Source organism: Homo sapiens, chromosome 9, assembly GCF_000001405.40.
Source record: "Homo sapiens chromosome 9, GRCh38.p14 Primary Assembly".
Classification (NCBI taxonomy): Eukaryota; Metazoa; Chordata; class Mammalia; order Primates; family Hominidae; genus Homo; species Homo sapiens.
The window spans coordinates 127,994,588-128,014,289 of record NC_000009.12 but is presented as its reverse complement, the minus strand read 5'-3'; the positions used below and the strand labels follow the sequence as shown (position 1 = coordinate 128,014,289).

The window sequence follows — 19,702 nt, the reverse complement described above, 5'->3', positions numbered from 1 at the left end:
AGACCGACTGTGCGTGTCCAAATCCCAGCTCTGACACTTCCCAGCTGAGTGACTACGGGCAAACAACTCACTTCTCCGAGGCTTAGTCTCCTCTTTTGTAAAATGGGAACAAACATAGTCCCTACCTGACAGGTGATTACGAGGATCTGGTGAGTTTATACGTGTCAGGTGCCCAGAGCAAGGGCTCAATAAACATAAGCTAGTGTGATTATTAAGTGCATGCATATGTAGAGAACAGAAAAATTGCAATAGTCAATGGTATCCTTGGGACTCTGAGAGTTCTCCCACCGCCACTTTATATTCTTTGAGACAGCGTTTCCCTCTGTAGCCCAGGTTGGAGTACAGTGGTGCAATCTCACTGCAGCCTCTACCTCTGCATCCCCGGTTCAAGTGATTCTCCTGCTTCAGCCTCCCAAGTAGCTGGGATTACAGGCACGTGCCACCACGCATGGCTATTTTGTATTTTTATTTATTTATTTAGAGATAGAGTCTCCCTCTGTCGCCCAGGCTGGAGTACAGTGGCATGATCTTGGCTCACTGCAATCTCTGCCTCCTGAGTTCAGGCGATTCTCCTGTCTCAGCCTCTCGAGTGGCTGGGATTACAGGCGCATGCCACCATGCACAGCTAATTTTGTAATTTTAGTAGAGACAAGGTTTCACCATGTTGGCCAGGCTGGTCTTGAACTCCTGACCTCAGGTGATCTGCCTGCCTCAGCCTCCCAAGGTGCTGGGATTACAGGCGTGAGCCACCACGCCCGGCTCTAGTTTTTGTATTTTTAGTAGAGACAGGGTTTCACCATGTTTGCCAGGCTGGTCTTGAACCCCTGGCCACAAATGATCCACCTGCCTTGGCCTCCCAAAGTGCTGGAATTACAGGCATGAACCACCGTGCCCGGCCAAGATCTCCCCTTTTTAACTAGGTCTCTACCTTCTTCAATCTGGAGGAATGGGGGGACTCCCACGGTGCCCATGCTCATGCCCAGTCCCATACTGTTCCCTCGTGGACTGGCATTGTTTGTCCCCTCCCTATTCTCCTTTCCTTACCCCCAGTCCAGACTGAGATATGAGCTTGACAAGGCAGGGAGTGTCTGTTCATCCCAGTATCCCCAGTGCCCAGCCTGGAGCCTGGCACAAATAAGTGTTCAGTACATGTTTGGTGAATAAATAATGCAAGCAGGCCATGTGCAATGGCTCACACCTATAATCCCAGCACTATGGGAGGCTGAGACGGACGGATCACCTGAGGTCAGGAGTTCGAGACCAGCCTGGCCAACATGGTGAAACCCCGTCTCTACTAAAAATACAAAAAAATAGCCGGGTGTGGTAGCAGGTGCCTGTAATCTCAGCTACTCAGGAGACTGAGGCAGGGGAATCACTTGAATCCAGGAGGCGGAGGTTATGGTGAGCCGAGACTGTACCATTGCACTCCAGCCTGGGCAACAAGAACAAAACTCTGTCTCAAAAAAAAAGAAAAAAAAAGTTCCTAACCTTCAACTCAGCAGTTCTTCTTCTCAGCACTTATCCTGGGATAATAGTTTAGGACTTGCAGAAAGATCTGGCTCAGGAATCTTCATCTGAATGTGCAGGATGTGGTCTACAATAGCATCTGCCCGCCTCGGCCTCCCAAAGTGCTGGGATTACAGGCGTGAGCCACCATGCCCCACCATAGTTTCTTTTCTTTTTTCTTTTTTTCTTTTTTAAGACTGAGTTTCACTCTGTCGCCCAGGCTGGAGTGCAGCGGTTCGATCTCAGCTCACTGCAACCTCTGCCTTCGGGTTCAAGTGATTCTCCTGCTTTAGCCTCCCAAGTAGCTGGGATTACAGGTGTCTGCCACCACGCCCGGCTGATTTTTGTATTTTTAGCAGAGACCAGGTTTCCTCATGTTGGCCAGCTGGTCTCGAACTCCTGACCTCAAGTGATCCGCCCGCCTTGGCCTCCCAAAGTGCTGGGATTACAGGCATAAGCCACTGTACCCGCCATGGTTTCTTAATAAAATATGATCCTATTACATATGTTATACTAGATTGTTAATAATGGCCCTGGTATATCTTGCCTCCAGCATCTAGGCCCTGATGTAGGTTGTCACATGTTGAATTTGGGCCTGGTCATGTGATAAACTTGGGTCAAAGGGACACTAGTAAGCCTGCTGCAGAGTTTCAATAAGGGTTTACACTTGGAGGCTTGTTTTCTTGAAATACATTACTCACTCTTGGGATCAAACCCCCGTGCTGGAAGGAGGCTCAGGCAGGACTGTGGAATGATAAGGCCATGTGGAGATGGGTGCTGGAGGATGAGAGGGCATCATCCTCTCATCCTTGGAAGTTCGAGCCCCAGCCAAACTCCCAGTTGAATGCACCCGCATCAGTGACCCCTGCTGCCACATGATGCTGAAGAAGGGCCAGTTTCCGGGTACTTTGCAATTCAGCAATAGATAATTGAAACATATTGTTCCGCAACTTTAAGAAATCTTAACAATACCTATATATATCATGAACATCCTCCTCTGGCATTTCATATAGACAGGCTCATTGTTTTGAATGACTGTAGTTTTCCATGGGAACTGCAAGCATAATTTACTTATCCATTTCCTCCTGATGGACATTAGGTGGCTTCCAGTTCTTTGCCATGACAAACAGTGCTACAGTAAATAACCCCCTGTGTGAATAACATTGCCAATTTCATGGACGTTAGCGTTTCTTTAGGATAAGTTCCCAGAAGCGGAATTACTGGGTCAAAGGGTTTGCACTTTGCATGTTTTCACAGATATTGCCAAACCATCCTCTAAAATGGTCAGACCGATTTATACTTCTGTGGGCAGTGGGCAAGTGGGCCTGGCCTTCAACCCTTGTCCGTACCTGGTGTGACCCACCTTGAAAAGCCATTTAAGTAGCAACATTGGCCAGAGGGAGTGTGTGGAAGTGTTACAGAGTGGCCGGGGTTCGGGGGTGGGGCCAGACTCGGGAAGATCGGCTGCAGCCACAGGAGCCCTGGGTTCCTTCCTCTTCTGCCTGGGCAGCTGTGCTCAGCACATCCTTTCTAAGGTGCTTCCCCAGCTGACCCGCCCCCTAGACGGGCCCAGTTCCTCCAGCCTTGACCTCCACTCACAGTGACCCTCGACTCAGATGGGCCCCAGCCCAGCCCCTGCCTCCTGTAAAGAGGGGGACCCTCCAGCCTCACCTGGTAACCCTGGACAAACCTCTGATCTCTGAGCCCATTTTTGCTTTTGAGAAAAATGTGGATGAGAACAAACCAACTGTTGGGCTCTGTTGTTTATTGTTTATTACTTCAGTAAACAGGTATTTATTTAATAATTTATTTATTCTTTTTTTTTTTTTTTTTCCTGAGACACAGTTTCACTCTATTGCTCAGGCTGGAGTGCAGTGGCACGATCTTGGCTCACTGCAACCTCTACCTCCCGGGTTCAAGTGATTCTCCTGCCTCAGCCTCCTGAGTAGCTGGAATTTCAGGTGCGTGCAACCACGCCTGGCTAATTTTTGTTTTATTAATAAAGGCGGGGTTTTACCATGTTGGCCAGGCTGGTGTTGAACTCCTGACCCCAAGTGATCCGCCCGCCTTGGCCTCCCAAAGTGCTGGGATTACAGGCATGAGCTACTTTACTTGGCTTTTTCTTTAAAAAAAAATTATTATTATGTTATTACTATTATTTTTTGCTTTGTCACCCAGCCTGGAGTGCAGTGGCACAATTTCAGTTCACTGCAACCTCTGCCTCTTGGGCTCAACCATCCTCCCACCTCAGCCTCCCAAGTAGCTGGAACTACAGGTGCATGCCACCACATTCCCAGCTAATTTTTTTATTTTTTGTAGAGATGGGGTTTCACTACGTTACCCAGGCTAGTCTCAAATTCCTGAACTCAAGCAATCTGCCCACCTCAGCCTCCCAAAGTGCTGGGATCACAGGCATGAGCCACCGTGCCTCGCCTATTCTTTCAGCAAACACCATCCTAACCTATCAGTCCCCATGACCTGCTTGGGGAGGTAGAGACCAAACAGGTAATCACGCAGATATATACTCAGAAGTTCAGAAGTACTTCTTTTTGTTTTGTTTTGTTTCGTTGAGATGTAGTCTCACTCTGCTGTCCAGGCTGGAGTGCAGTGGTATGATCCTGGCTCACTGCAACCTCTGCCTCCCGGGTTCAAGCAATTCTCCTGCCTCAGCCTCCCGAGAAGCTGGGATTATAGGTGCCCACCACTATGCCCAGCTAATTTTTTGTATTTTTGGTAGAGACGGGGTTTCACCATATTGGCCAGGCTGGTCTCAAACTCCTGACCTTGTGATCTGCCTGCCTCGGCCTCCCAAAGTGTTGGGATTACAGGCTTGAGCCACCGCGCCCAGCCTCAGAAGTACTTCTACGCAGGGCTTTGTTATCTGAAATGGAGTCAGGTACATACACAGGAAACTGATTTGCGGGAGGGCAGGGCAATGACCTGGCTGTGGGGCTGAGAGCAGAGGATGGAGGGGCTGAGCCAGTGGAGACCAGGGTGACGGCATTCCCGGATGCAGGAGGGCTTGTGCAAAGCCCTGAGATGGGAGGAGCGGGTCATTCTTTTCTGGGACTGAGAAGCTGAGTGCAGAGTGAAGAGGAGAGAGGTCTGAGATGAGGCCGAAGGTGGCCAGCAGGGCCATACCATGGGGCCTTGTGGGTCACAATGGGGATGTTGACCTTTAAACGAAGAGCACTGGAGAGCCATTGACAGAATGGTGAAATTAAATGAGATGTATCACAGAACATTCTTAACCCATGGTTAGTGCTCAATAAATGTTGCTATTATTATCATCATTATTATTTTCTTACTTTCTCTACCTTCTAGGTGTCAGGTCAGAGAATTCCCTTGGATCCCAAAAGGGCCTGACTAGGCCGGGCCAGCTATGTTCCTTGACTAGGAAGGACCCCAGAACTAGCCCGACCGTTTTCAGGAAAGGGAGTGCAAATCCGGAGGGCATCTGCAACATGCCCCCAACGTCACCAGAGAGGCAGTGCTGGAACTTGAACCCAGGGCTCTGACTCCAGGCCCAGAGCTCCCTCACTCCATCCCCACTGCTAAAAGCAAGTCCTCATCACCTCTCTGCCCTGCCTGAAATCCTCGGTGGCTCCCCAGTGCCTCCAGCATGCCCCCAGCCTGGCATTCAAGGCCCCTGCTTGGGGTTATTTCTCTCTCCCTTCATGTGAACCCTAACCCAAAGCAAAGAGCACTGCTCCGCGATGCCAGAGGACACAAGGGCCCCTGCTCTCACACACCCCTGGTGCCTTCCTCACCTGGAATGCCGCCAATGGAGGCGTCCCTAAGGCCCAGGGTGCCAGCCTGTCCTCCTGTGTTAGTTCCCTATCTCTGCTGTAACAAATTTCCACAGACTTAGTGGCTTAAAACAATGTAAGTTAAAGGCCTGGTGCAGTGGCTTACACCTGTAATCCCAACACTTTGGGATGCCAAGGCGGGCAGATCACTTGAGGCCAGGAGTTTGAGACCAGCCAGGCCAAAGTAGTGAAACCTCATCTCTACTAAAAATACAAAAATTAGCCAGGCGTGGTGGCGGGTGCATGTAGTCCCAGCTACTCCAGAGGCTGAGGCAGAATCGCTTGAACCCAGGAGGTGGAGTTTGCAGTGAGCCAAGATCGTGCCACTGCATTCCAGCCTGAGTGACAGAGGGTGACTCCATTTCAAAAAAAAAAAAAAAAAAAAAGGAAAAGAAAAGAAAACATAACTTCATTATCTTACAGATCTGGAAGATGGAAGTGTGACATGGGTCTCACAGGGCTAAAGTCAAAGTGTCCACAGCAGAGCCTCGTTCCTTCTGGAGGCTCCTTCCGGAGAATCTGTTTCCTTCCTTTCCCAGCCTCTAGAGGCTGCCTGCATTCCTTGGCTTGTGGCCCCTTCCTCCACCTTCAAAGCCAGCAACGGAGGGCTGAGTCCTCACACTGCATCTCTCTGTTCTCTCTCCTGCCGCCTCCTCCTCCACACTGAAGGACCCTTGTGATCACAATGGGCCCCCAGATGATCCAGGATAATCTCCCTGTTTGAAGGTCGGCTGATTAGCAACCTTCATTCCATCTGCTACCTTATCCTTGGCCATGTCACCTGGCACCTCCATGCATAATCACAGGATTAGGATCTGGAGTGCGGGGAGACCCTTGTTCTGCTGGCCACACCTCCCCTCTTCCCTCACCGGAGCCTGCTCTGTCTCTCCTCAGCATCCTCTTCAGGCAGGTGCTCTCAGACAGACAACCAGGAAGTGCATGCCGCCCACGCTTCCGGGGAGGAAACAAAAGGTCCTCCCAACACACCTTTGGGGGTTGTTTTTGAGTTTGTAAAGGGCTTTCACACGCTTGAGGGTTAGTATTTGTTCTGCTCCACATCTGAGAAAGCTCATGTGAGAGAGGCCAAGTGGCTGGGCCGGGCTTGCAGGGTGAGGAATGAACTGTTGCTGGGCTCACCCCCAGGCCTGACCCCAGCGCTTCCCCTTCTTCCCCACTGAAACAGCCTCGCCTCCCCCAGTCCATCGTAATGGTTTTCCAAGGCCACTTCAAGTGAATCCTGTGGCCAATCTGCCCTTATTTCTGGCTTCTTGCCAAAAGTCATGAGGTCACACTTGAAAGACTTCCTCAAAGCCTGCAAGCCATCGTGCTGGAGGTTTCTGCTTGAATTAGAAGCAGGAATTGTTCCCCATATGCTGCCAATGGGGCTGTCAGAGGTGCAGGTTTCCAGGGGAGCTATTAGTCAATAAGTCTCAAAAGCCTTAAACAGGAGCACTCCTTTTACCCATCGGTGCCACAGGAAGCCATGGACAAAAGCGCAGAAATGTACATGCTAGGTTTGTGTCATAGCATCGTGTGGAAAGCAAAATATCCAAGCTACCCAAGATGTCCATCACTAGGGCCTCGATTCAATAAAATGCTGTAGCCAGGCGCTGTGGCTCACGCCTGTAATCCCAGCACTTTGGGAGGCTGAGGCAGGCGGATCACCTGAGGTCGGGAGTCTGAGACCACCCTGGCCAACATAGTGAAACCCTGTCTCTACGAAAAATACAAAAATTAGCTGGTCGTAGTGGCGCGTGCCTGTAGTCCCAGCTACTTGGGAGGCTGAGGCAGGAGAATCGCTTGAACCTGGGAGGTGGAGGTTGCAGTGAGCTGAGATTGTGCCACTGGACTCCAGCCTGGGCAACAGAGTGAGACTCCATCCCCCCACCACCCCCCCCCAAAAAAAAAATATATATATAAAATAAAATAAAATGCTGTATCCACTGTTGTAGCACTACACAGTCATTACAGATCTTTTTGTAATGCTAATCTTCTCTGTATCATTCCAATTTTTAGTATATGTGCTGCCGAAGCAAACACAACAAATCTCAAGGTAGATTTCCATTTACTGATGAGATACTGAGATAGCCTGGAACAAGGACACGAAAATTCCCCACTTCATTAGTCATCAGGGAAATGAGAATTAAAGCCAAAAGGAAATACATCTACATATCTATTAGAATAGCTAAATTTGGCCGGGCAAGGTGGCTCACACCTGTAATCCCAGCACTTTGAGGCTGAGACGGAAGGATCACTGGAGCCCAGGAGTTCGAGACCAACCTGGGCTGCATAGTGAGACCCCTGTCTCTCCAAAAAAAAAAAAAAAAAAAAAAAAAAAATTAGCTGGGCGTGGTGGTACAGCTACTTGGGAGGCTGAGGCATGAGGTTCGCTTGAGCCTGGGAGGCAGAGGCTGCAGTGAGCCAAGACTGAATCACCGCACTCCAGCCTGGGTGACAGAGTGAGACCCTGTCTCAAAAGAAAAAACAAAAGCAGGTTCTCTATGTACAGTTTGATTTCCTTTCTGGGGAAACAGAAGTGTGTGTGTATGTGTTTTCTGAGTAATGGGATCGGAGGTGAGGTAGGCTTTTTTCTTTAAAGTTTTCCGCATTTGCGTGATGCTTTTTTAAAAAATCATACATCTGCATTTATATTTATAATAAATAAAGCAATTTCCATTTTGTAAGAGGAAAAGAAAACAAGTGCCCCGAGCAGAGCCTGGCCCCTGCTGACCTCACGGAGGCTCCTCTTCCCTGGCTGGTCCTGTCCAGCCGGAGACGGGAGTTGACACAGACTCGAGGGCTTCCTGTGCTGTGGCAGCTGGGCTCTTCCCCAGGCGTGCAGCGGCTCCCAGGGCAGTGATGGGAGCCGCAGTGCAGATGCTTCCCGGAAGGCTCAGGGTCAGCCTCAGCTAGACCAGTAAATCACCCACTGGTGCCGGCCCTGGCTGTGCTGCCTGCCGCAGGGGTGGGAGCATTTCCTCTGCAGAGGCAGGGCCAGCATTTTGGGGAAATGCACAGCATGGTGCATTTGGAAGAGCGTGGAAGCCCACTCACAGTTAGCTTTGAGTGGTTGAGTAATTTATTTATGTATTTATTAAATTAATTAATTAATTAATTAATTTTTTGAGACAAAGTCTTGCTCTGTTGCTCAGGCCGGAGTACAGTGGTATGATCTCAGCTCACTGCAACCTCCACTTCCCAGGTTCAAGGGATTCTTCCACCTCAGCCTCACGAGTAGCTGGGACTATACAGGTGCCTGCCACCATGCCCAGCTAATTTTTGTATTTTTAATAGGGACGGGGGTTTCACCATATTGGCCAGGCTGGTCTTGAATTCCTGGCCTCAGGTAATCTGCCTGCCTCAGCCTCCCAAAGTGCTGGGATTGGCTGGGTGCGGTGGCTCACGCCTGTAATCCTAGCACTTTAGGAGGCCGAGGCGGGTGAATCACCTGAGATCAGGAGTTCGAGACCAGCCTGGCCAACATGATGAAACCTAGTCTCTACTAAAAATGCAGAAGAAAATTAGCCTGGCGTGAGGGCAGGTGCCTGTAATCCCAGCTACTCGGAAGCCTGAGGCAGGAGAATTGCTTGAACCCGGGAGGCGGAGGTTGCAGCGAACCGAGATTGCACCTTTGTACTCCAGACTAGGCAACAGAGCAAAACTCCGTCAAAAAACAAAAAACAAAAAGTGCTGGCATGAGTCTATTTTATTTTTTGAGACAGGGTCTCCCTCTGTCATCCAGGCTGGAGTGCAGTGGCATGATCTCAGGTCACTGCAACCTCCACCTCCCAAGCTCAAGTGATTCTCCTGCCTCAAGCCTCCTCCCCAAGTAGCTGTGACCACAGGTGCATGCCACCGTGCCCAGCTAATTTTTGGACATTTTGTAGAGACAGGGTTTCACCATGTTGCCCAGGTTGGTCTCAAATTCCTGATCTTAAGTGATCTGCCTGCCTTGGCCTCCCAACGTGCTGGGATTACAGGTGTGAGCCACCACATCCGGCCCCAGGAATTGATTATATGGACAAAGGAGGCGGCTGGTGGAGAGGGCAGGCTCTACAGTAGAGCTCCCTAGGGACCAAAATAAAGACCTGGGAACCAGCAGGACCCTCCAGAGTCCTTAGTGCCAAGGGCTGTTTCATTCTCTGCTTTCCTGGGCATATGGCCACACCAGTGGGTAGTTCAGATGTCAACAAAGACCACTTCTAGTTTTCTTTTTTTTTTGAGATGGAGTCTCTCTCTGTCTCCCAGGCTGGAGTGCAATGGCAGGATCTCTGCTCACTGCAACCTCCACCTCCCAGGCTCAGGAGATTCTCCTGCCTCAGCCTCCCGAGTAGCTGGGATTATAGGCACCCACCAACATGCTCAGCTAATTTTTGTATTTTTAGTAGAGACGGGGCTTCACTGTATTGGCCAGGCTGGTCTCAAACTCCTGAACTTAGGTGACCCGCCCACCTCTGCCTCCCAATGTGCTGGGATTACAGGTGTGAGCCACCGCGCCCACCCTAAGACCACTTCTGAGTACAAATTTCTAGATAGAATCTGATTGGCCCATCTTGGGTCAGGTGGCACCCAGTCAGCCAATGGTGTGGGGTCAACTTTACTAAGCTGCCTTCCAAGGAGTTCTCAGGGGTTCTCAGAGGAGCAGGTGTGGGCTGGGTGGCTCCCCAAAGACTGTCCTCTACACTCTGCCAACAGAGGAAATCTGATTAGGTGGTTAAGCCCCCCAAGCAACATGGTGCCTCCCTATGTGGCAGCTGTCCTGAGGGGCCTGGGCGTGGAAAGCCAGCCGGGTCCAAGCCTCCTCCCAGGGAATGGTTCCTTACCCAGATTCTGTGCTGTAACACGTCCCTGCTGACAGCTGCTAGGACACCTGCCCCAGAACAGCAAAGCTCTGCCCCGACAGGGTGATGGTAAAAGTCCTCTGAGGAATCTGAACCGGTTACGTGGGGGAAGGCCAGGCTCTCTTCAGCAGGAGCAGGAGTGGATGGACACACTCAGGGCAAGCCGCCGAGCCAGAGTAATGTGAACGGTGGGGCAGCCATCAGCTTCTGGGGGTATATCGTCACTATCACTAGAACTATAGGCCCATGGCAGCAACACCGACATGACAACAACCATGGCAAAGAGCATACATACTTGTGACAGGCTAAGCAACTCCTATGCTGGGTGCAATCACCAGGGCCTGCTATACATGGATCCTTAGAGACCCTCATATAACCAGTTCACTTAATGCCAACATGAGCACTAATCCAGCACTTTCTGCAGGCCAGGCGCCCATTCCTAGCACCTCACATATATTCACTCACGCAACCCTCCAACAACCCTAATGATCAGATAAGTACCTTTTTTTTGAGATGGAGTTTCGCTGTTTCGCCCAGGCTGGAGTGAAGTGGCACCATCTTGGCTCACTGCAACCTCTGCCTCCCAGGTTCAAGCGATTCTCCTGCCTCAGCCTCCCAAGTAGCTGGGACTACAGGCACGTGCCACTACGACCAGCTAATTTTTGTATTTTTCGTAGAGATGGGGTTTCACTATGTTGGCCAGGCTGGTCTCAAACTCCTGATCTCAGGTGATCCACCTGCCTTGGCCTCCCAAAGTGCTAGGATTACAGGTGTGAGCCACCACACCCGGCCCAGATAAGTACTAGTATCCCCATTTTACAGATGCGCAAAAGAAAAGTGCAGAGAAATTCAGTAACTTGCCCGTATTGATAGAGGCTGGAGTCAAACCTGGGCAGCCTGGCCCTGACCTCATGCTCATATCCACTGAGCTACACCGTCTGCCAGACACTGACATGTGCCTGATGCATGTGCCTGACACTTTCCAGGTACTGGGATGCAGACCAGGACACAGATTCTACAACTGTGACCTCACTGCCTGAGGGGAGATAGACATAAATAGCAATGGCCCAACAATGAGCTGTCGTTTTAAGTGCTGCAAGCTTAGTACCCTAAGAGTATCTAGAAAGGGACCATTCTTCTCTGGAGGGGTCAGGGAGAGCTTCCCTGCAGAAATGACACCAATGCTGAAGTCTAAAGAGTGACAAGGAGGGTCGGGCGCGGTGGCTCACGCCTGTAATCCCAGCACTTTGGGAGGCTGAGGTGGGTGGATCACCTGAGGTGAGGAGTTCCAGACCAGCCTGGCCAACATGGCTAAACCCAGTCTCTACTAAAAATACAAAAATTATCCAGGCATGGTGGCATGCGCCTATAGTCCCAGCTATTCAGGAGGCTGAGGCAGGAGAATCTCTTGAGCCCATGAGGCGGAGGTTGCAGTGAGCCAAGATCGCACCATTGTATTCCAGCCTGGGCAACAGAGCGAGACTCTGTCTCAAAAAAAAAAAAAAAAAAAAAAAAAGAAAGAAAAAGAAAAGAAAACAGTGACAAGGAGTAGACCAGGCAAAGCAGTGGGGGCGGGGTGTGCAGCAGAAAGAGGTGCAGGTGAGAGGGAACAACATGTCCAGCGCGCCCCAGATTAGGTGAGTGCTCTGCCAAGTCACCGGGGCAACACTGACAGGGCACCATAAGGACCCTGCCCTGGTCTCCAGGGGTCTGGCCACTCTCTCTGTGACCCTGTACCACTTCCTACCAGCTATCATTGAGGAATACTCGCAGCTCTCTCTCTCTTTTTTTTTTTTGAGATGGAGTCTTGCTCTATTTCCCTGGCTAGAGATGGCACCATCTCGGCTCATTTCAACACCCGCCTCCCTAGTTCAAGCGATTCTCCCGCCTCAGCCTCCTGAGTAGCTGGGATTACAGGCACCCACCATTATGCCCGGCTAATTTTTATATTTTTGTAGAGATGGAGTCTCACCATGTTGGCCAGGCTCGTCTTGAACTCCTGACCTCAGGTGATCCACCCGCCTCCACCTCCCAGATTGCTGGGAATACAGGCGTGAGCCACCACGCCCGGCCTCACAGCTCTCTTTGAGGTGGCAGCAGGACAAAACTGTGGATGTGTCCAGGAGACGTTTGCTACCGGGTGGCCCAGAAGGAAGTTAATCACTTCAGTGCCGGTTTGCAGGAGTCACGATGATTCAGGGGAAAAGGCTGTTGGCTGCATTCTGGAAGGGAATTCAGCCGGCCGGGCTATCCATGTGTAGAGATGCTAATCAGAGGCTGGCTGGGGCAGTGCTCTCCTTGAAGGGAAGGCCCTGGCGGTTTTGCAGGACAGCTCTGGCCGAGGGCTAGTTTTGGACATTCCTGGCTTGCCTAAATGAGTTAAAAGGCAAACATGGGGTTTTTTTAGTTCTTCGTCTTCAGCCACTTGATGAATCTTCCTGACAAGATGGTCAATTTCCAGACCCTGCTGGCAGCAGCAGGACTGTCACTATGAACGTCTGCGCAGCTCTCATGGGTCAGGCACTGCTCAGAACAAATAGGGGTCATATTGATCAGCTGAGCAAAGACAGCCGCACCAATAATGGGGGTACAGGACCAACGGTCTTCTACCCTCTAGGAAAAGCTGGCTTTACCTTCCTGTAGGGAACATTAAAAATGTTCTTGCCCTGTGTCCCAGCGGCTCTACTACTGGCAATTAGCCCAAGACCCTCCCAGCAGTGCATAGGGAGCATTTACAAGGGTGCTTACTGCAGTGTGGCTTGAAATGGTAAAAAACTGCAAACACCCAAACATATCCTGATGGAACTGGCTAAATCCTGTGTGGATGTCTTCACCACAGACCCGTGCAGCCATGAAGACAATGTTCCACAAGCAGCAGCCTGCAAGCTCACTAGCAGGTAAAATAAAACAAAACGTTTCATATTATCCCATTAAAAAAAAAAAAAACCAAACGACAAAAATCAGCGGCATTTCCACACATTAACAGCGAACAATCTCAAAAGGAAATTATAAAAACAATTATATTTATAATGGCATCAAAAATAATAAAATCGGTTGGGTGCAGTGGCTCTTGCCTGTAATCCCAGCACTTTGGGAGGCCAAGGTGGGTGGATCACCTGAGGTCAGGAGTTTGAAACCAGCCTGGCTAACGTGGTGAAATCCTGTCTTTACTGAAAATACAAAAATTACCTGGGCGTGCTAGCAGGCACCTACGATCCCAGCTACTCAAGAGGCTGAGACAGGAGAATCAGTTGAACTCAGGATTCAGAGGTTGCAGTGAGCAGAGGTCGTGCCATTGCACTCCCCACTGGGTGACAAGAGTGAAACTCCATCTCAAAAAAAAAAAAAAAAGAAAAAGAAGAAAAAAAATGCCAGGTGTGGTGGCTCACGCCTGTAATCCCAGAACTTTGGGAGGCAGAGGTGGGTGGATCACCTGAGGTTGGGAGTTAAAGACCAGCCTGACCAATGTGGAAAAACCCCACCTCTACTAAAAAAAAAAACAACAGAAAATTAGACAGGCATGGTGGCGCATGCCTGTAATCCCAGCTACTCAGGAGGCTGAGGTAGGAGAATCTCTTGAACCCGGGAGGCAGAGGTTGTGGTGAGCCAAGATTACGCCATTGCACTCCAGCCTGGGCAACAAGAGCGAAATTCCATCTCAAAAAAAAAAAAGACAAGAAAGAAAAAAGGAAAAAAGAAAAAGAATAAAATGCTTAGGAATTAACCAAGGTGTTGAGACTGTCCAGTGAAGACTACAAAGCATTGCTGAAAGAAATTAAAGAAGGCGGCCGGGCGCAGTGGCTCACGCCTGTAATCCCAGCACTTTGGGAGGCCAAGGCAGGTGGATCACGAGGTCAGGAAATCGAGACCATCCTGGCTAACACAGTGAAACCCCGTCTCTACTAAAAATACAAAAAATTAGCCGGGCGTGGTGGCAGGCGCCTGTAGTCCCAGCTACTCGGGAGGCTGAGGCAGGAGAATGGCGTGAATCCGGGAGGCGGAGCTTGCAGTGAGCCGAGATAGTGCCACTGCACTCCGGCCTAGGCAAAAAAGCAAGACTCCGTCTCAAAAAAAAAAAAAAAAAAAAAGAAATTAAAGAAGGCATAAATAAATGGAAACATATCTCATGATCATAGATTGAAAGACTTAATTTATTTTTAATTGTAGAGATGATAGTCTCCCTACGTTGCCCAGGCTGGTCTTGAATTTCTGAGCTCAAGCAATCCTCCACTTTGGCCTTCCAAAGTAGTACAATTACAAGCATGAACCACTGCACCTGTCCTGAAAGACCCAATATTGTTGAAATGTTTATGCTCCCCAAAGTGATGTACAGATTCAGTGCAATCCCTGTTAAAATCTCAATGACATTTTTGCAAAAGTAGAAAATTCTGTCCTAAAATTTGCATGGAATCTCAAGGGACCCTGAATAGCCAAAACAATCTAGAAAAAGAAGAACTAAGCTGGAGGACTCATACTTCCTGGTTTCAAAACTTACTACAAAGCTACAGTAATCAAAACAATGTGGTACTGACATAAAGACAGACACATAGACTCATGGAATAGAACATAGGGAGCCCGGAAATAAACCCTTGCATATATGGTCAAATGATCTTTGACAATGGTACCAGGATAATTCAATGGGGAAAAAAACGATCTTTTTATTTTATTTTGTTTTATTTAATTAATGTAATTAATTAATTAATTTATTTTGAGACGGAGTTTCGCTCTTGTTGCCCAGGCTAGAGTTGCAATGGCATGACCTCAGCTCACTGCAATCTCTGCCTCCTGGGTTCAAGCAATTCTCCTGCCTCAGCCTTCTGAGTAGCTGGGATTACAGGCGCCCACCACCACACCTGGCTTTTTTTTTTTTTTTGAGATGGAGTCTCTCTCTGTCGCCAGGCTGGAGTGCAGTGACGTGATCTCAGCTCACTACAACCTCCGCCTCCCGGGTTCAAGTAATTCTCCTGCCTCAGCCTCCCCAAGTAGCCTGGACTACAGGCACACACCGCCATGCCTAGCTAATTTTTTGTATTTTAGTAGAGACGGGGTTTCACCGTGTTGCCCGGGCTGATCACGAACTCCTGAGCTCAGGCAATCTGCCTGCCTCAGCTTCCCAAAGTGCTGGGATCACAGGCATGAGCCACCATGCCCGGCCCAAGTTTTGTATTTTTAGTAGAGACGGGGTTTCACCATGTTGGCCAGGCTGGTCTCAAACGCCTGACCTCAGGTAATCCACCTGCCTCGGCCTCCCAAAGTGCTGGGATTACAGGTGTGAGCCACCGCGCTCAAGAACGGTCTTTTCAACAAATGGTGGTGCAAAAGAATGAACTTGGAGCTTTACTCAATACTGTATACTGTATAAAAATTAACTCAAAATGGGTCAAAGACCTAAATGTAAGATCTAAAACCATGTGGTAATAGCTTGACACCACTGGGTTTGGCAATAATTTCTTTGCTATGACATCAAAGTCACAGGCAACAACAACAAAAATAGACAAATTGAACTTTATGGACGTTAAAAAATTTCGTGCATACAAAGACAATATCAATGGATTAAATAGGCAATCCACAGATGGTAGAAAATATTTACAAATCATATATCTGAAAAGAGATTAATACCTGGAATATATAAAGAACTCCTAAAACTTAACAGCAAAAAACAAATAACCTGATTCAAAAATGGGCAAAGGAGCCAGGCGACGTGCCTTACACCTATAATCCCAGCACTTTGGGAGGCTGAACTGGGAGGATTGCTTGAGTTCAGGAGTTTGAGATCAGCCTGGGCAATAAGATGAGACCCCATCTCTACAAAAAAAATACAAAAAAAAAATAAGCTGGGTGTGGTGGCTACTTGGGAGGCTGAGGTGGGAGGATCGCTTGAGCCCGGGAAGTCAAGGCTGCAGTGACCCGTGATCATGCCACTGCACTACAGCCTGGGTGACACAGCAAGACCTTGTCTCAAAAAAAAAAAAGACTATTCTCCAAAGATTCTCAATATCACTAATTGTTAGGGGAATGCAAATCAAAACTACAATGAGATATCATTTCACACTCATTAGGATGGTTACTATTAAAAAAAAAAAACAGGCTGGGCGCAGTGGCTCACACCTGTAATCCCAGCACTTTGGGAGGCTGAGGTGGCCAAATCACTTGAGATCAGGAGCTTGAGACCAGCCTGGCCAACATGGTGAAACCTGGTCTCTACTAAAGACACAAAAATTAGCCAGCTGTGGTGGCAGGTGCCTGTAATCCCAGCTACTTGGGAGGCTGAGACACAAGAATTGCTTGAACCCAGGAGGCAGTGAGCAGAGATCACACCACTAACGAGTACTGGAAAGGAGGAGAAATTTGAACCTTTCTACATGGGTGGTAGGAATGTAACATGGTGCAGCCACTGTGGAAAACATTATGGCAGTTCCTCAAAAAATTAAAAATAGAATTACTATGTGATCCAACAACTCTGCTTCTGGATTTACAAAATGATTGAGAGTGGGATATCATACACCCATGTTCATGGCAACAGTATTCACAATTGCTAAAACATGGAAGCAACCCAAGTGTCCATCAACAGATGAACAGATAAATGTCGTATATACAAACAATGGAATATTATGCAGCCGTAAAAAGGAAGGAAATTCTGACACATGCTACAACATGGATGAACGCTGAAGACATTAGGCTACATGAAATAAGCCAGTCACAAAAAGATAGGGCCGGTCATGGTGGCTCACACATGTAATTCCAGCACTTTGGGAGGCCGAGGCAGGTGGATCACTTGAGGTTAGGAGTTCAAGACCAGCCTGGGTAACATGATGAAACCCCATCTCTACTAAAAATACAAAAATTAGCTGGGCGTGGTGGTGGGCACCTGTATTCCCAGCTACTCAGGAGGGGGAGACAGGAGAATCGCTTGAGCTGAGAGGTGGGAGTTGCAGTGAGCCAAGACCTTGCCACTGCACTCCAGCCTGGGCGACAGAGCAGGACTCTGTCTCAAAAAAAAAAAAAAAAAAGATAGATACTGTACGATTCCACTGATATAAACTACTTAGAGCTGTCAAAATCATAAAGACAGAAAGTAGAATGATGGTTGCTAGGGCTTGGGGGAAGGGGAAATGGGGAGTGTTTAATGGGTTCAAAGTTTCAGTTTTGCATAATTAAAAACGTTATAGGGATGGATATTGGTGATGGTTGCATACCATTATGAATACATTTAATACTCCTGACCTATATACTTAAAAATGGTTAAGATGTAATTTTATGTTATGTATATTTTGCCACAATAAAAGAATTCAAGGAAAAAAAGAAAATATCACTGCAAGCTTTGAAAAAAAACCATCTGACACTGTTAACAAAGGTTCTCTGGGAAGGAGCATTACAGAGGACTTTCACTTTTTTTTTTTTTTTTTTTTTTTGAGGCGGAGTCTCATTCTGTTGCCCCCGCTGGAGCGCAGTGGCGCGATCTTGGCTCACTATAAGCTCCGCCTTCCGGGTTCACGCCGTTCTCTTGCCTCAGCCTCTCGAGTAGCTGGGACTACAGGCGCCCGCCACCATGCCTGGCTAATTTTTTTGGTATTTTTAGTAGAGACGGGGTTTCACCGTGTTAGCCAGGATCGTCTTGATCTCCTGACTTCGTGATCCACCCGCCTCTGCCTCCCAAAGTGTTGGAATTACAGGCGTGAGCCACTGCGCCTTGGCCTCACTTTTTAAACTTTCTCTTTCTATAGTATAAAATTTTGCAATGCTTGAATTTTATAATGATGAGAGTGTAGTACTTTTGATTTGAGATCTTTTTTCTTCTTGGGAAGCTGTTGCCCAGGCTAGAATGCAGTGGTGGGATCACGGCTCACTGCAGCCTCGACCTCCTGGTCTTAGGCGATCCTCTCCAGTAGCTAGAACTTCTCCAGTAGCTGGAACCACGGGGGAGTGTATGCCACCATGCACAGGTAATTTTTTTTTTCTTTTTTGACAGTTTTGCTCTTATCCCCCAGGCTGGAGTGCAATGGCACATCTCGGCTCACTGCAAGCTCCGCCTCCCGGGTTCACGCCATTCTCCTGCCTCAGCCTCCCGAGTAGCTGGGACTACAGGCGCCCACCACCACACCCGGATAATTTTTTTTTTCATATTTTTAGTAGAGACGGAGTTTCACTGTGTTAGCCAGGATGGTCTCGATCTCCTGACCTCGTGATCCTCCCGTCTCGGCCTCCCAAAGTGCTGGGATTACAGGCGTGAGCCACTGCACCTGGCCGTGTTTTCTTCTTTTTAATGTAAATGTTTATTGCTGTAATCTTCCCTCTTACTACTGTCTGAGCTGCATCCCATATGTTTGGATATGTTGTGTTTTCATTTTCATTTGTCTCAATATATTTCCTAATTTCCGCGCCCCTCACCCCCCTGCTTTTTTTGTTTTGTTTTGTTTTTTTGAGACGGAGTCTTGCTCTGCCACCCAGGCTAGAGTGCAGTGGTGCAATCTTGGCTCACTGCAACCTCCACCTCCCAGGTCCAAGCGATTCTCCTGCCTCAGCCTCCCAATTAGCTGGGACTACAGGCGTGCACCACTATGTCCAGCTGATTTTTGTATTTTCAGTAGAGACGGGGTTTCACCGTGTTAGCCAGGATGGTCTTGATCTCCTGACCTCGTGATCCCCCTGTCTCAGCCTCCCAAAGTGATGGGATTACAGGTGTGAACCACCATGCCCAGCCCCTTGTGATTTCTTCTTTGACCCATTGGTTAAGAGTGTGTTGTTGGCCGGGCGCAGTGGCTCATGCCTGTAATCCCAGCACTTTGGGAGGCCGAAGGGGGCAGATCATGAGGTCAGGATATCGAGACCACGGTGAAACCCCGTCTCTAATAAAAATACAAAAAAATTAGCTGGGTGCGGTGGTGGGTGCCTGTAGTCCCAGCTGCTCAGGAGGCTGAGGCAGGAGAATGGTGTGAACCCGGGAGGCGGAGGTTGCAGTGAGCCGAGATCGCGCCACTGCACTACAGCCTAGGCGACAGAGCGTGACCCCGTCTCAAAAAAAAAAAAGTGTGTTGTTGGCCTGGCACGGTGGCTCAAAAAAAAAACAATAGTGTGTTGTTTATGTGAATTTTCCAGTTTCTCTTCGGCTATTGATTTCTAGTTTCATTTCATTGTGGAATATGTGCTATTTTTATTTTTGAGATGGAGTCTTGCTCTGTTGCCCAGGCTGGAGTGCAATGGCAATGATCTCGGCTCACTGCAACCTCCGCCTCTGGGTTTAAGAGATTCTTCTGCCTCAGCCTCCCAAGTAGCTGGGATTACAGGCACCTGCCACCACACCCGGTTCATTTTTTATTTTTAATAGAGATGGGATTTCACCATGTTGGGCAAGCTGGTCTTAAACTCCTGACCTCAGGTTATCCACCCACCTCAGCCTCCCAAAGTGCTGGGCTTACAGATGTGAGCCACCACACCCGGCTGATTTTTAAAACCAGCGAAGCAGTGATAAAAAAAGAATGTCTTGGCTAGGTGCAGTGGCTCACGCCTGTAATCCAAGCACTTTGAGAGGCCAAGGCGGGTGGATCA

General features: G+C 48.8%; 6 annotated features.

Moving 5' to 3' along the window:
- Positions 6,061–6,120: an enhancer, noted in NCBI's record as "active region_29066". NCBI's record gives its function as "activates an Ori minimal core promoter by ATAC-STARR-seq in GM12878 lymphoblastoid cells {active_cell/tissue: GM12878}" and the evidence as "EXISTENCE:reporter gene assay evidence [ECO:0000049][PMID:35858748]".
- Positions 6,421–6,660: an enhancer, noted in NCBI's record as "active region_29065". NCBI's record gives its function as "activates an Ori minimal core promoter by ATAC-STARR-seq in GM12878 lymphoblastoid cells {active_cell/tissue: GM12878}" and the evidence as "EXISTENCE:reporter gene assay evidence [ECO:0000049][PMID:35858748]".
- Positions 12,165–12,698: an enhancer, noted in NCBI's record as "H3K27ac-H3K4me1 hESC enhancer chr9:130763871-130764404 (GRCh37/hg19 assembly coordinates)". NCBI's record gives its function as "activates a minimal SCP1, AML or CMV promoter by ChIP-STARR-seq in naive H9 embryonic stem cells {active_cell/tissue: H9 hESC(naive)}" and the evidence as "EXISTENCE:reporter gene assay evidence [ECO:0000049][PMID:30033119]".
- Positions 12,699–13,234: an enhancer, noted in NCBI's record as "H3K27ac-H3K4me1 hESC enhancer chr9:130763335-130763870 (GRCh37/hg19 assembly coordinates)". NCBI's record gives its function as "activates a minimal SCP1, AML or CMV promoter by ChIP-STARR-seq in naive H9 embryonic stem cells {active_cell/tissue: H9 hESC(naive)}" and the evidence as "EXISTENCE:reporter gene assay evidence [ECO:0000049][PMID:30033119]".
- Positions 12,699–13,290: a biological region, named in NCBI's record as "H3K27ac-H3K4me1 hESC enhancer GRCh37_chr9:130763335-130763870".
- Positions 13,084–13,290: a silencer, noted in NCBI's record as "fragment chr9:130763279-130763485 (GRCh37/hg19 assembly coordinates)". NCBI's record gives its function as "represses an EF-1alpha promoter that drives an FKBP-Casp9 reporter gene in an ReSE screen in K562 erythroleukemia cells {active_cell/tissue: K562}" and the evidence as "EXISTENCE:reporter gene assay evidence [ECO:0000049][PMID:32094911]".